Here is a 15,564-nt window from a genome sequence, read left to right on the forward strand (position 1 = left end):
ATTTTTCCGTCAATATGCATCAGGGATATTGGGCTGAAGTTTTCTTTTTTGTTGTATCCCTGCCAGGTTGTGGTATCAGAATGATGCTGGCCTCATAAAATGAGTTAGGGAGGAGTCCCTTCTTTTCAGTTGTTTGGAATAGTTTCAGAACAAACAGTACCAGCAACTCTTTATACCTCTGATAGAATTCAGCTATAAATCCGTCTGGTCCTGGGTTTTTTTTTTTTTTTTGGTTGGTAGGCTATTTATTACTATAGGCTATTTATTACTGCCTCAATTTCAGAACTTGTTATTGGTCTATTCAGGGATTCAACATCTTCCTGGTTCAGTCTTGGGAGGGTGTATGTGTCCAGGAATTTATCCATTTTTTCTAGATTTTCTAGTTTATTTGCATAGAGGTCTTTATAGTATTCTCTAATGATTGTTTGTATTTTTTTTTTTTTTTTTGAGAAAGAATCTCACTCTGTTGCCCAGGCTGGAGTGTATTGGTGTGATCTCAGCTCACTACAACCTCTGCCCTCTGGGTTGAAGTGATTTTCATGTCTCAGCCTCAAGCGATTTTCATGCCTCAGCCTCCTGAGTAGCTGGGATTACAGGTGTGTCCCACCATGCCCAGCTAATTTTTTTGTATTTTTAGCAGAGACTGGATTTTGCCATGTTGGCCAGCCTGGTCTCAAACTCCTGACCTTAAGTGATCCTTTCACCTCAACCTCCCAAAGTGATGGGATTACTGGTGTGAGCCACCGTACCTGGCCCAGTTGTTTGTATTTCTGTGGGGTCAGTGGTGATATCCCTTTTATCATTTTTTATTGTGTCTATTTGATTCTTCTCTCTTCTTTATTAGTCCAGTTAGCAGTCCATCCATTTTATTAATTTTTTTCAAAAAAACAGCTCCTGGATTTGTTGATTTTTTTTGAAGGGTTTTTTGTGTCTCTGTCTCCCTCAGTTCTGCTGTAATCTTGGTTATTTCTTGTCTTCTGGTAGCTTTGGGGTTTCTTTGCTCTTGGTTCTCTAGTTCTTTTAGTTGTGATGTTAGGGTATCGATTTGAGATCTTTCTAGCTTTCGATGTGGGCATTTAGTGCTGTAAATTTCCCTCCAAACACTGCTTTAGCTGTGTCCCAGAGATTCTGGTACATTGCCTGTTTGTTATCATTGGTTTCAAATAGCTTCTTGATTTCTGTCTTAATTTCTTTATTTACCCAGGAGTCATTCAGGAGCAGGTTGTTCAATTTCCATGTAGTTGTGTGGTTTGGAGTGAGTTTCTTAATCTTGAGTTCTAATTTGGTTGTGCTGTTTGTTATGATTTCAGCTCTTTTGCATTTCCTGAGGAGTGTTTGACTTCCATTTATGTGATCAATTTTACAGTAAGTGCCAGGTGGTGCCAAGAAGAATGTATATTCTGTTGTTTTTGGGTGGAGAGTTCTGTAGCTATCTATCAGATCCACTTTATCCAGAGCTGAGTTCCAGTCTTGAATATCTGTTAATTTTCTGTCTTGATTATCTGTCTAATATTGACATTGGGTGTTAAAGTCTCCCACTATTATTGTGTAGGAGTCTAAGTCTCTTTGTAGGTCTCTAAGAACTTGTTTTATGAATCTGGGTGCTCCTGTATTGGGTGCATATATATTTAGTATAGTTAGCTCTTACTGTTGAATTGTCCCCTTTACTATTATGTAATGCCCTTCTTTGTCTTTTTTTAAATCTTTGTTGGTTTAAAGTCTGTTTTGTCAGAGACTAGGATTGCAACCCCTGCTTTTTTCTGCTTTCCATTTGCTTGGTAAGTTTCCCTCCATCCCTTTATTTTGAGCCTATGTGTGTCTTTGCATTTGAGATGGGTCTCTTGAATACAGCATACCAAGGGGTCTTTACCCAGCTTGCCACTCTGTCTTTTAATTGGGCCATTTAGTCCATTTACATTTAAGGTTAATATTGCTGTGTGTGAATTTGATCCTGTCATCATGATGCTAGCTGGTTATTTTGCAGGCTTGTTGATGTAGTTGCTTCATGGTACTATTAGTCTTTGTACTTCAGTGTGTTTTTATAGTGACTGGTAACATTTTTTTCCTTCCCATATTTAGTGCTTCCTTCAGGAGCTCTTGCAAGGCAGGCCTGGTGGTGACAAATTCCTGCAGCATTTGCTTGTCTGAAAAGGATTTTATTTCTCCTTCGCTTATGAAGCTTAGTTTGGCCACATATGAACTTCTGGATTGGAAATTCTTTTCTTTAAGAATGTTGAATATTGGTCCCGAATCTCTTTTGGTTTGTAGGATTTCTGCTGAGAAGTCCACGGTTAGTCTGATGGGTTTCCCTTTATAGGTGGCCTGGCCTTTCTCTCTGGCTGCCCTTAATGTATTTTACTTCATTTTGACCTTGGGGAATCTGATTATTATGTGTCTTTGGGTTGATCTTCTCATGGAGTATCTTACTGTGGTTCTCTGTATTTACTGAATTTGAATGTTAGCTTGTCTTGTTAGGTTGGGGAAGTTCTCCTGGATGATATCCTGAAGTATGTTTTCCAACTTGGTTCCATTCTCCCTGTCTCAGGTACCCTAGTCAGTCATAGGTTTGGTCTTTTTACATAATCCCATAGTTCCTGGAGATTTTGTTCATTCCTTTTCATCTTCTTTTCTCTAATCTTTTCTGCCTGTCTTATTTCAGCAAGTTAGTCTTCAGGCTCTGAAATTCTTTCCTCCACTTTGTCTACTTGGTTGTTGATACTTGTAGTTACATTGTGAAGTTCTTGTTTTGTGCTTTTCAGCTCTATCAGGTCATTTATGGTCCTGTCTCAACTGGTTATTCTGGTTAACAGCTCCTGTAATGTTTTATCATGGTTCTCAGCTTCTTTGCATTGGGTTAGAACATGCTCCTTCAGCTCTGTGAAGTTATTACCCACCTTCTGAAGTCTACTTCTGTCAATTCATCCATCTCAGCCTCTGCCCAATTCTGTGCCCTTTGCTGGAGAGGTGTTGCAATCATTTGAAGGAGAAGAGCACTCTGGCTTTTTCAGTTTTCAGAATTTTTTCATTGATTCTTTCTCATCTTCGTGAGTTCGTCTAGCTTCAATCTTTGAGGCTGCTGACCTTTGGATGGGGTTTTTGTGGGGACATTTTTTGCTAATGCTGTTGTTGTTGCTTTCTGTTATTTGTTTTTCTTTTAACAGTCTCCTTCCATAGGGCTGCTGCAGTTTGCTGGGGGTCCATCCCATCCTGTTCACCTGGGTCCCTCCTACAACTGGAGGTGTCACCAGTGGAGGCTGCAGAACAGCAAAGATGGCTGCCTGCTTCTTCCTCTAGGAGCTCCATCCCAGAGGGGCACTGACCCGATGTCAGCGGGAACCCTCCTGTATAAGGTGTCTGGCGACCCCTGTTGGGGGTTCTCACCCAGTCAGGAGGCAGGGGATCAGGGACCTGGTTAACAAAGCACTCTGGCTGCCCCTTGGGCAGAGGGGGTGCACTGCACTGGGGGGAATCCCACTTGTCTGGACTACCCGGATTCCTCAGAGCCAGCAGCGGGAAAGACTAAGTCCGCTGATCAACCGAGACTGCGGCTGCAACTGCGGCTGCCTCTCCTTCTGGGGAGATCAGAGTTCTGTTCGTAAACCTCTGGCTGGAGTTACTGAAATTCCCACAGGGGAGCCCCAGCCAGTGAGGAGGGATGGGTCAGGGTCTGGTCTAAAAAGGCAGTCTGGCCACAATCTGCCACAGTTGCTGTGCTGCACTGTGGGGAATTCTTCCTGGGTCTAAACCGCCCAGTCTCCCTGGCACCAGTAGGGGAAAAACAGCAGACTGGAGCTGCAGTGATGGCTGCTGCCCCTCTTCCCAGGAGCTCAGTCATCTTAGGTAGGAGGCAGCCACAGTCATGATGGCCACCCCTCCCCCTGGGAACTCGGTAGTCTTAGGCAGTTTCCAGCCAAGAGGCCGCCGTAGTCTTAGGCAGTTTCCAGCCAAGAGGCCGCCGAGAATCTGCACAGCTCTGTGCTTGGGACCCAAACCCTGGTGGTGTGTGTGGGCCCACGAGGGGGATCTCCTGATCTGTGGGTTGCACAGATCCATGGAAAAACCGTGGATCGTGGATTCTTGGGCAGGGTAACACAATCACTCACTACCACCTCCCTTGGCTGGGGGTGGGAGCTCCCCTTGCCCTGTGTGGCTCCTGAGTGGGCCATGGCTCCACCCTGCTTTTTCCTTGCTCTCCATGGCTCACGCCAACTGCCTAGTCAGTCCCAATAAGAGAACCTGGATACCTCAGTTGCCAGTGCAGGATTCACTCACCATTTTCATTCTTCTGTGTGAGAGCCTCCAAACGCATATATTTCTCGTCAGCCATCTTGGCCCCTCCGGCCTGTTGTTGTTTTTTAGAGAGCCAAGATGTTAAACTTGTACCAGCACACCACTGGCCCCAACCCACCTCCAAAGTTTTAGTCTATTGAATTTACTTAATTCTTACGAACTTTGCTGTGCCCTTGTGAATGTTTTTGTCTTTGGATAAACCATTGTTTTTTCGTCTTTACCTGACCAACTCAACTTGGTCGACAAGAGTATTCTCTAGCCCTCAAGTCTGGGTTAGATTTCTGTCTCCTTTCTCATAAAGCAAACCTCTTTTTCCAACAGGTAAAGTAAAATAAAGTAAATTAAGTAAAGATAAAAGACCAAATTTAGGTGAATGTGAAGTTGTTATCTGGAATGACTGGGAGTTGGGTAGGTATTGCAAGGACTTTTATTGAAGTCCTTGACCATTATTGAAGATGCAGTCTTCTCAAGAGCTAATAGTTCAGTACCTATTTAATTGTTTCACAGTATCCTAAAATATTATAGAAAGCCTGATTGATCTCTTGCACCTATTCCCCTACCACAAATATAAAGCCTTTTCCACATTAAGAGTACAGTACTATATTCCTAGCAGACATAAACACTTCACCAATACTGAATCCATTCTTCAGAGCTTAGCTTATGTGTCTTTAAATACTATGTCCTCTCATTACATTTTTTCCCTAAAAGTAGGCAGTTTCTTGGCTTAAATAATTTCCCAGATAACATATACACTCATATCATTGGTAACAATATTTTTAATGTAAGTAGTAGTAAAAAATGCCCTGAAGAATGAGGCCGATTATTTTCGTTCTGATATTTCATTGTTAATGTCTGCAGTGTCCTTCTGTGCTGAGGGTCTCCTGAATGTTCACTGCATGCTATTTTCCTATGACTTTTGTAGAGAACAGCAGGGCTTTAGCCTCTGTGCTTTCCTTTGTTTTATCTCTCCTATCATCATGTGGGCATTACAGAGCTGGGTGCTAAAAGTTTTTTTTTTAATTTAAATATGAAAAAACCCTTAAAATATAGTTTCTACTCTCCAGAAATGTACAGTGTAGTAAAGGAGGCAAGGTACATCTACAAAAGAGTTAAGGAACAACATAAGATAGTAAATGATTAAGATTCCAAGTAATTAGTTGCCTGTGAGACTACTTGTTAGCTATATAAGTGGGCAAGATGCCTAATCTGCACATTGGTTTGGTTTCCTCATCTGCATAATGAAGATAGTAATATCAGTCCCGCTTAGAGTGTTCTGTTGATAATTGAATGAGTTACTGTATCTCATGGTACAATTTAAAGGTTATAAGGTGATAAGTATGAATTTATTATGATTACTAGTATTAAAGCTTATGATCTAATACAGAAGAAAGAATATCTTGCTTAAAATGTATATGAGCTTTTTCTGAGGTGATTTTTTTTTTACCAGTTATCAAAAAAATCACTTTGGCCTTTGAGTTGTTAGGCCCCTGGAGTTACTTTTCAATTCTTTATTTGTTTTCCATGTTCTTCCTTTGGAAAGATTTTCTGAGTTTCAGAAACTGTTTTCCAGATTTGCTACCACATACTATCCTTGGTTTTTTGTCCCCAAAGACCAGCCAAAATGTAGGAATATAATTTTCTCTGCTTTCTTTTTGTTAGCTGTCTTTCCAAAATGAGCATAGGTTGTCTATTTTTTAAGATTTTACAACTAATCACTAAAGGGGAAATAGAGTATAATAAATACGGGAACTTATCTTCCAAAATCTCATAAGGTTTCCAAAGGGTTCTGTGATATTTCTGATTTCCTTTCTCAGGTGGAGCCCAAAAGCACATACCCTCATCTCTCTTTTAATTCTTAAGTTTATAAAATTTTCCCTCTTCCCACTTCTCTACCTTTTTCTAGTTTACTTAGATTTCTTCTTCCTTAGCCTTTTACTTTTTGTGACAACAAAGTCAGATTTTCTTTCTTAGAGAGAAATTTAGGTCATCCTTTATAATTCATCTTCTTCCCGTGTTATTAGAAAATCCAGAACTCCATTTAAATTTGCAGAGAGAGAACCTCACTAAAAACGATTGTGGAAATTACCTCATGAGCTTAGGTCTCTTCTTTTGGCAATAGGTACATTCAAAATATAAGAAGAGAAAATGAACTAACATATAAAAACTCCTCTGGGATGATATCTTTTATTCTTGTTTTATAATTATTGCTAAAAAATTATAATCTAGATGTTAATGTTTTTAATCCTTTCATTTCTAGCATTAATTAAAATTTTTCTATTTGTGTATAATTAGTAGTAAGACTATATAAAATTCAAGAGACCTTTCAGTTTATTTTATTAAGGTACTTAAATCCATAAAGTTAGAGCTACAGAGATCTGTACAAGTAGGGCCTGTTATTGCTTACTTATTTGGGCAGGTTCTGTCTCTTCTATTAGTTCCTGCTTAGGGACTGCTTATTTTATTCTAATTCTTTGTTACATATTAGAAGCAAGGAAATAAATTTAAATGAGGAAAAGAACAGAATAAAAAGAATATAGAGATCTTTTAGGGACCGCTGAGGCTCTCCAGCAGTCCTTGAAGATTATATAAATTCCCTTTTGATGAAATTCTGAAAATTTTACCACTAATAGACCTGAGCTGTAGTTTCTCTAGGACTGATACATGAATTTTTTTAGTTTATTTAAATAGAGTTGTTGAAATATGTGAGAGATGACTGTATTTTGGTTTCAGTTATGTAAACTTCATGAAAGAAGTGAAATGATCATCAGTAACTTTTAAAAATAATGTTACTAAATATTCTTATTATCTAATCATGAATTTACGTAATCATAAACAGATTAATCTCTACTTTAGATTTTCTTTTAAATTCACTGTTTAAATTTTATAAATCAATGAAGTACAAGGCAGTTTTGTTACATGCATAAATTGCGTAGTGGTGAAGTCTGAGTTTTTTAGGATATTCATCACCCAAATAATGTACATTGAACCCACTAAGTAATTTCTCATCATCCACCTTTCCCCCACCTTGTAACCCTTCAGAGGCTCCATTGTCCGTCATTCCATTTTCTACTTCAATATGTGCACATTTTTTTTAGCACCCACCTGTGAGTGAGAACATGGAATATTTGTGTTTCTGCGTCTAACTTGTTTTGTTTAAGATTTCTAGTTCCATCCATGTTGCTGCAAAAGACATTTCATTCTCTTTATGGCTGAATAATATTCCATTGTGTGTATATACCACATTTCTTTATCCATTCATCTGTTGATGGACATTTAGGTTGATTCCATATCTTTGCTATTGTAAATAGTGCTGTGGTAAACATGCAAGTGCAGATATCTTTTTGACATATGGATTTCTTTTCCTTTGGGTAGTTACCCAGTGGTGGAATTGCTGGATTGAATGGTAGTTCTATTTTTAGTTCTTTGAGAAATCTCTGTATTTTCCTTAATGGTTGTTGTAATTTATATTCCCGTTAACGGTGTATATGAGCATTCTCTGCATCCTCACCGTCTGTTATTTTTTGATTTTTTAATAGTAGCCATTCTGACTGGTATAAGACGGTGGTTTTAAGTTGCATTTCTCTGATGATTACTAATATTGAGATTTTTTTCATGTACATGGCCATTTGTATGTCTCCTTTTGGAAAATTTCTGTTTATGTCCTTTGCTTACTTTTTAATGGGATTATTTGTGAAGTTTTTGTTGAGTTGTTTGAGTTCCTTGTATATTCTTAATGTTAGTCCTGTCAGATGTATAGTTTGCATATATTTTCTCCCATTCTGCAGGTTCTTTTCACTCTGCTGATTATTTCTTTGGCTGTGCAGAAGCTTTTTAGTTTTAGTTGCATTTGCCTGTTTTTGTTTTTGTTGCCTGTGCTTTTGAAGTCTTAGTCATAATTTCTTTACCTAAACCAATGTCCAGAAAAGTTTTCTGTAGGTTTTCTTGTAGTATTTTTAGTTTCTAGTCTTAGGATTAAGTCTTTAGTGTATCTTGAGTTGATTTTTGCATATGGTGAGAGATAGGGGTCCAGTTTCATTCCCCTGCATATGGCAATCCAGTTTTTCTAGCACCATTTTTTGAAAATGGTGTCCTTTCCCCAATGTGTGTTTTTATCAACTTTGTCAAAGATTAATAACTGTATGTATGTGGCTTTATTAAATTCATTTTACTCTTTTTTTTTCAGCTACATTAACAAGCTATTCTGAAAATGTGGAACGCACAAAATATGCTGGGGAAAGCAGTAAAGAATTAGGATCTGGAGGAAACATAAAACCTTGGCAGTCTCAAAAATCCAGCATGGACTCCTGTTTGTATCGAGTAGATGAAAACATGACTGCTTCCACCTATAGTCTGAATAAGATCCCAGAGAGAAATTTGGAAACAGTGTTATCTCAATCAGTACAGTCTATTCCTTTGTATCTCATGCCACGGCCAAATTCAGTAGCAGGTAAGTTTTTGTTGTTGTTGTTGTTGTTGCTGTTGTTAAATAATCATTTTACTCCAGTATATATTGAAATGAAAATAAATCCTGCTCTGACAGTATTTAAATTTTCCATTCATCTTTTCTGACTAAGCTGTTCTTTTGTGTTTGGGTAATATACATGTATATATTATTTGAATCTGGGAGAAGGTTCATCTTCCTCGAGTGATTGCTTAGTTCTGCTCCCAAAATGTACAAAAACACATAGAAATTCAGAAACAGCCTATAAAATATATCATCAAACAACTAAAAGTCTTTTCTCTCAATGAGAAGTCTTTGAAAGAATTTTAGTTTGAGGTTTTAGTTCTTTTCTTAAAATCTTAGTTTTAAAAAACATTACTAAAATTGGCATATCTCAGTGTAATTTGTATTATCAGAAATCATCATCCATAGTTTGTAAAAGTGGAAGGCAGACAAGAATTCAGCTTTTCCTCATCCCGTGAGTTTCAGTATTTTCACAATATCCTGGCTATCATTTCATGGAAGAATCACCAGGTGGCTACATTTCTAAAGAATAATTCTGCAACACCACTAGCAAACTCGGTTAAAAAAAATTGTATTAGTCCGTTTTCACACTGCTATAAAGATACTACCTGAGACTGGATAATTTATAAACAAAAGAGGTTTAATTGGCTCACAGTTCCACACAGCTGGGGAAGCCTTGGGAAACTTATAATCATGGCAGAAGGCAAAGGAGGAACAAGTACCTGCTTCACAAGGCAGCAGGAGAGAGAGCAAGCACACAGGGGAACTACCAGTTTTAAACCATCGGATCTAATGAGAACTACCTCACTATCACGAGAATAGCATGAGAGAACCACCCCCATGATCCAATCACCTCCCACCAGGTCCCTGACACTTGGGGATTACAATTCGAGATAAGATTTGGGTGGGGACACAGAGCCAAACCATATCAGAAATGATATAGCATGGTGGCTCATGCCTGTAGTTGCAGCAATTTGGGATGCTGAGGCAGGAGGATTCCTTGAGGCCAAGAGTTTAAGACCAGCCTGCGCAACATAGTGAGACCTTGTCTCTAAAAAAAAAAAAAAAAGAAAGAAATGATACTGAGGGTTAAGTGGTTGAAATACGGAGTCATCATTCCTTAGCACCTACTCTCCTCAAAATTGATGTCAAGGGGTATTTTTACTACAGCTAAATTGCTGTTTAATAATTCAAACCTGGGACTTTTGAAGAATAGTTGAATGTTCTGACTTTTCAAAATATGTCATCATCTGGACTTTGTCCAGACTATAAAATCAAAGTTATGTTTGCTTCTCTTACTTTCCTCATGAAGACCTGGATAGATTATCTCACTGATAATTACTCCTTATGTAGCTGATAGTGTAATGCTTCTTGCCATTCCCAGTTCCCTTTCCTACGTGTTCTTTGTTCTCTGGGAGACCATCAGCATCTGTCATCAGGTGTGATTATAGGGGAAATGGCTCATCTGAAAGATAAGTAACTATGGAAGATTTTAATATTAATTGTTAAAGATTATTCACTTTTATATAGTGACAGGAAATTTTTTATCCTAGGACCTTCTAACTATGTCAATCCCCAACTACCATGTCATATTAGAATCCTAGAATGCTGTTGTTTTAGTCTATTCTTATACTGCTATAAAGAAATACCTGAAACTAAGTAATTTATAAAGAAAAGAGGTTGAATTGGCTCATGGTTCTGCAGGCTGTACAGGAAGCATAGCAGCTTCTGCTTGGCTTCTGAGGAGGCCTCAGAGAGCATTCAATCATGGCAAAAGGCACAGGGGGAACAAGCACCTCACATGACCAAAGCAGGAGGAAGAGCAGGAGGAGGAGGAGGTTGCACACACTTTTAAATGACCCATTCTCTGGAGAACTCTCATATTACAAGAACAGCAAGGGGGAAGTCTGCCCCATGATCCAGTCACCTTCAACAATGGGGATTACAATTCAGCATGAGATTTGGGCAGGGACACAGATCCAAACCATATCAACTGTACATTATGAAAAGTTCCAGGCAAGCCTGAGTCTTTTCCGAAAAGAAGCATGTAAATCCTTGCTCGTATATAAATAGAGGAATGTAACTACCAACCATAATAGTATGTCCCAACTTACTTCCTAACTAAGCTACAATGATTTCTAAGAAAATTCTGGTTCTATTATTTGAGAAAGGCACTGAACACTTAGTAGAAGACAAAGAAGCTTTGTCTCAATGAGTGGAACTATGTAGTCAGTCTGAATGAACAATGTTAATTCAGGGCTATGAGTCTTGGTCACTACTTAACATCAACATTGTGTATTACTGTCTTCTTCCTACTTACTCCCCATTATATTTTATGTGTATCCCTTAGAACCTTTTTTCACTGTGTTAATCAAGGACCTTCTCATTTGTTTAAAAGCGACTCAGCTCTTCCTCAGGCTTCCCTTAGCCCCAAGTGTATCCCAGAACTGTTGTACTTCCCTATTAGCCAAGTGCTCCCTCTCTAGTTGTATCCTGTACCTTCAGAGCAGTGCCAGAACTGAACAGACTATGGGAAGAGAGAATGGAACAAGCAAGCTGGTTAATTTAATGTTTTGCTGTTGGTCTCAGAAAGCCATCAGGACCACATGAAACTAACCACCAGACAGTAATAAGCTTTGAGGCAACTACCAAACTATCTCCATCTAATTCCTAGCCACCTTCCCAGGCTGAACTCAAATACTTCCTCCTTCATGAAACTTTCTCCAGTCATCTCCCAGCCACAAGTAATTGCTTCTTCTTCTAGAAAGCATTCTCTTTTTGTGTTGGCAACAGTCTACTTTGTGTTATGTGCAGCTATTGTGTATATGTGTTGGTCTGACTGTCACAATCTAAACTTTTTGACATTAGCAACTGAGAAGACTCCAGTAGAGGTTCCATAGTGAGTGAACTAATGAATGAATATATGCATGAACCAACCAATCTGTGATATCAGCTTTAAACAAAAATAACAATGTAGTTAGTAAATCTAATGATAATTTTCTTCATCTTACTATAGAATATAGTCTTCTCATAGGAGAGATTACCCAGAAAAAGGTGGGGTGGGGGCTTATTTACAGAAAGTAAGCTCTATATGAGATGGTAGTATGAGCCAGTTACAAAACAGTTTTGGACTTACTAGTATCTCACAATTTCTTTTCTTCCAAAATTATAAACTGTAGTTCTCTTTAATAATGGAATGTATAAACAGCATTTATCACTATTTGCTAACAACTGGCAATATATATTTTTCAGTGGTTAATCAGAAGCCCTTATTCAATTAGCAGTGTAATGGTATTGGGGAAAAAAATGGAGATTTTAAGAGATTTCTGTTTCTCTAAGAGAGCAGTCAGCAAACCAGGGCCCATGGGCCAAGTTTGGCACACTCTATTTTTGTAAATAAAGTTTCATAGCAGCAAAACCACACTCATTTATTTATTTATGGCTACTTTGCTCTACCACAACAGAGTTCAGTTGTTGGAACAGAGATCATAAGCTATACAGTTAACATTGTAGTGGCCTACAAAGCCTGTATAAAAAGGGCAATCCCAACGTTCATTCTAAAATCTTACCCTGGCGTTGGATTCAAGTCACCCCTCGGCGATGCATCTCGGCTATACAGGTCATATACAGTGTTAGCTGTGCATAGGGACAGAAACTGTTTTAGACTTTATGAAAGTTTCATGATGTGTTTCACATGACTTCATGAATTACATAGAGCATCAGAAATGTGTAAAAATTCCGTGAGAGGACATTGTTACTCAGCTATACTGATACAAGATAGCAAAGACACTAAACGGATTTGAAAGAGACAAAAAAGCTGAAATTGACCCTTAAGTTTTAAGTTTTTGTAATATGCATTTAGCTAGACTCATCATCAGTGTGGTGCATAGACAGTGCCTAATAGTAAATTGGTCACCTGCTTGAGTCTAGAGCCCTCATTTCCAAACTTAGGAATTTTCATTTTGGTGGTGGAGAAGTCTCTTAATATATTCGTTCTCATTTTCTCTTGACTTCTTTTTAGTTTATTGAAAAGAATGTAGAATTACTTTGCTCTTCTTAAACAGACATATCTCTTGAGATTCATTATTTTACCCAAAAAAATGCTAACTGTGAGCTTATGAGATGTCTAAGACTCCTGTACTCCTATAAAAGCCCGATAAGCTTTTCCTCTCAGTGTCTGTGAGGCTAATACTATTGTAAACAAAAAATACAGAAGGAAAAGTAAAAGCCACTCTCCTCTCTACACCTAATATCTCTCTCCAAAGGTTAATATTTCTGATTCTTTAAAATATATCTATATATATAAAACATTATAATATCTGTATGTGATATATAATCATATATACCTATACATGATCCTCTGTATCTGTGGTTCCATATCCATGGATATGGATGGCCAACTAAAAGGGACTTGAGCATTTGCAGATTGCGGTATCCTATTGCAGATAGCTCCAGGGGTTCTGGAGCTAATTCCCTGCAGATACCAAGGGATGATTGCATTTAATTATAATATATGTAAGAGAGATATGAGGTCAAAAATGAGTGGGATTCATTCAAAAGAAATGAAAGCATATGTTCTTAAAAATATATACATAATCATCACAGTTTTATTTGTAGTAGCCAGTAACTGAGCATCCCAGATGCCCATCAACAGGTGAATGGATAAACAATTGTGTATCCATACAGTGAAATTCTACTCAGCTACAGAGGGAAATGAATTATGGATACCACAGCAACATACATGAATCTCAAAATAATTATTCTATTTGAAAGAAGCCAGATTAAAAAAATATATGCTATATGATTCCATTTGTATAAAATCCTAGAAAATGCAAACTAATCTGTAGGCATAGATTGCCTCTGTTATACTGCGACCATCTACAAGTACAGGTGCCCTGTGGGAATTAGGGCTCAGGAAAGTGGCACAATGTTGATCCTCTGGCTACTGCTATTGCTCTGAGTAAAAAACTGTCTTTGATCTCCGACCCAAAGTTTCATATCTTTTTCCAGCATCCAAGCTTGTTAGTTTACAGATTCTTCACAATTCTTGACAGTGAGATATCGCTATACCCAAACCCACAAAATTAAAAGAAATGGCAATGGCAAGCAACACAAGGAAATGCTGCAATTGAAATTATACATTGATGGTGGGAGTATGTTAATAAGTTGGTACTCCATTTTGTAAAGTTGTTTGACAAGATGTATTAAAGGTATATAAAGCTATATATGCATGTTATCTAAAACCTCACAATTCCATTTCTGAATAGAATGTCCATGAGAAATGAGTGCTTTTGTTTATGAGAAGACAGATAAAATAAAGTTTTATCAGTTTTATTCATAATATCTAAAAACTGAAAACCATTCACATGTCCATCAACAGTGGAACTGATAAATTGTATGCAGCAATGAAAAAGAACACACTACTGTTACAACATCGTGAATATATTTCACAGATGTGATATTGAACAAAAGAAGACTCAAAAGAGTGCCTTCTGTATAAAGTATGTACATTGATATAAAGTTCATAGAAACAAAATGATCACACTTCTATAATTATAGAACTAAAGTAATGGTTACCTTTGGTAGGATTATTGACTAAGGGAGCTTTCTGTATCTTGGTCTGGATGGTAGTTACATGGATTTATACTCATGAGAAGACTTCAAAAAGTCCATGGAAAACATACTTAAAAGATACAAATAAAAAATATAAACTTTATTTCTCAACATAAGTTCCATCAAGTTCAAGACACCTTTGTAAGTGATGATACCAGCCATTTAGTTCATCCCTAAAGAACTGAGTGTCCTGGGAATTTAACCATGTCAATTAAGTCTTTTTTACATTATAAACTGAAGAAAAATGCATGCCTTTTACAGATTTTAATATTAAGAAACAAAAAAGTCAGAGCCAAATCAAGACTGTAAGATGGATTTCCCATCTAAACTTGCAAAATTGCCTTTGTTTGATGAGAGGAATGAGCAGGAGTATCATTGTGGTGGAAAAGGATTCTCTGGTGGAGCTTTCCTAGGTGTTTTTCTGCTCAAGCTTTGGCTTGCTCAAAACACTTTCATAGTAAGCAGGCGGGTCATTTTTGGTCCTCCAGAAAGTCAACAAGCAAAATGTCTTGATCACCCCAGAAAACTGTTGCCATGATGCTTGCTCTTGACTAGTCCACTTTTGCTGTGACTGGACTATTTCCACCTCTTGGTAGCCCTTGCTTTGGTTGTGCTTTGTCTTCAGGATTGTACTGGTAAAGCCATGTTTCATCCCATTACCATTCTTCAAAGAAATGCTCCAGGATCCGAATCCTACTCATTTTGTTTTAAATTTTCATTGAAAGCATTTCTCTTTTCTGCAGCTGATCTGGGGACAATGGTTTTGGCACCCATTTAGTGGAAAGTTTGCCCCCATTTTAATTTTTCAGTCATAATTGTGAAAGCAGAACCCATTGAGACATCTGTCATGTTGGCTCTTGTTTGTGCTGTTATCATTTGTCCTTTTCAATTGGGATACAAACAAGATGAATTTTTGTGGATGGTCTGCCACTGCAGGCTTCAACACTGTCTCATCCCTTCTTAAAACAAGTTATCCATTTGTAAACCGCCGATTTCTTTAGCGTATTGTCTCTGATATGATTTGGCTGTGTCCCCACCCAAAACTCATTTTGAATCATAGCTCCCACAATTCCCAAGTGTTGTGGGAGGGACCCAGTGGGAGGTAATTGAATCATGGAGGCAGGTCTTTCCTGTGCTGTTCTCATGATAGCGAATAAATCTCTTGATTTCTCATGGTTTTATAAAGGGGAGTATGT

At 37.9% G+C, this 15,564-nt stretch overlaps 1 protein-coding gene across 21 annotated transcripts in view, besides 2 other annotated features; it reads left to right on the plus strand.

The window, feature by feature from the left end:
- TANC2 (tetratricopeptide repeat, ankyrin repeat and coiled-coil containing 2) overlaps positions 1-15,564 on the plus strand; it is a 461,469-nt gene that overhangs the window by 263,106 nt on the left and 182,799 nt on the right. For all 21 annotated transcript variants that reach the window (XM_011524597.3, NM_001394998.1, XM_006721810.4 and 18 more), the window contains one exon: positions 8,474-8,737. In XM_011524597.3, the coding sequence (XP_011522899.1) occupies positions 8,474-8,737 (264 nt within the window). The remainder of the gene's footprint in view (positions 1-8,473; positions 8,738-15,564) is intronic.
- Positions 3,349-3,849: an enhancer, noted in NCBI's record as "H3K4me1 hESC enhancer chr17:61310050-61310550 (GRCh37/hg19 assembly coordinates)". NCBI's record gives its function as "activates a minimal SCP1, AML or CMV promoter by ChIP-STARR-seq in naive H9 embryonic stem cells {active_cell/tissue: H9 hESC(naive)}" and the evidence as "EXISTENCE:reporter gene assay evidence [ECO:0000049][PMID:30033119]".
- Positions 3,850-4,350: an enhancer, noted in NCBI's record as "H3K4me1 hESC enhancer chr17:61310551-61311051 (GRCh37/hg19 assembly coordinates)". NCBI's record gives its function as "activates a minimal SCP1, AML or CMV promoter by ChIP-STARR-seq in naive H9 embryonic stem cells {active_cell/tissue: H9 hESC(naive)}" and the evidence as "EXISTENCE:reporter gene assay evidence [ECO:0000049][PMID:30033119]".

The sequence above is a fragment of the Homo sapiens genome, chromosome 17, assembly GCF_000001405.40.
Source record: "Homo sapiens chromosome 17, GRCh38.p14 Primary Assembly".
In the NCBI taxonomy this organism is placed as follows: Eukaryota; Metazoa; Chordata; class Mammalia; order Primates; family Hominidae; genus Homo; species Homo sapiens.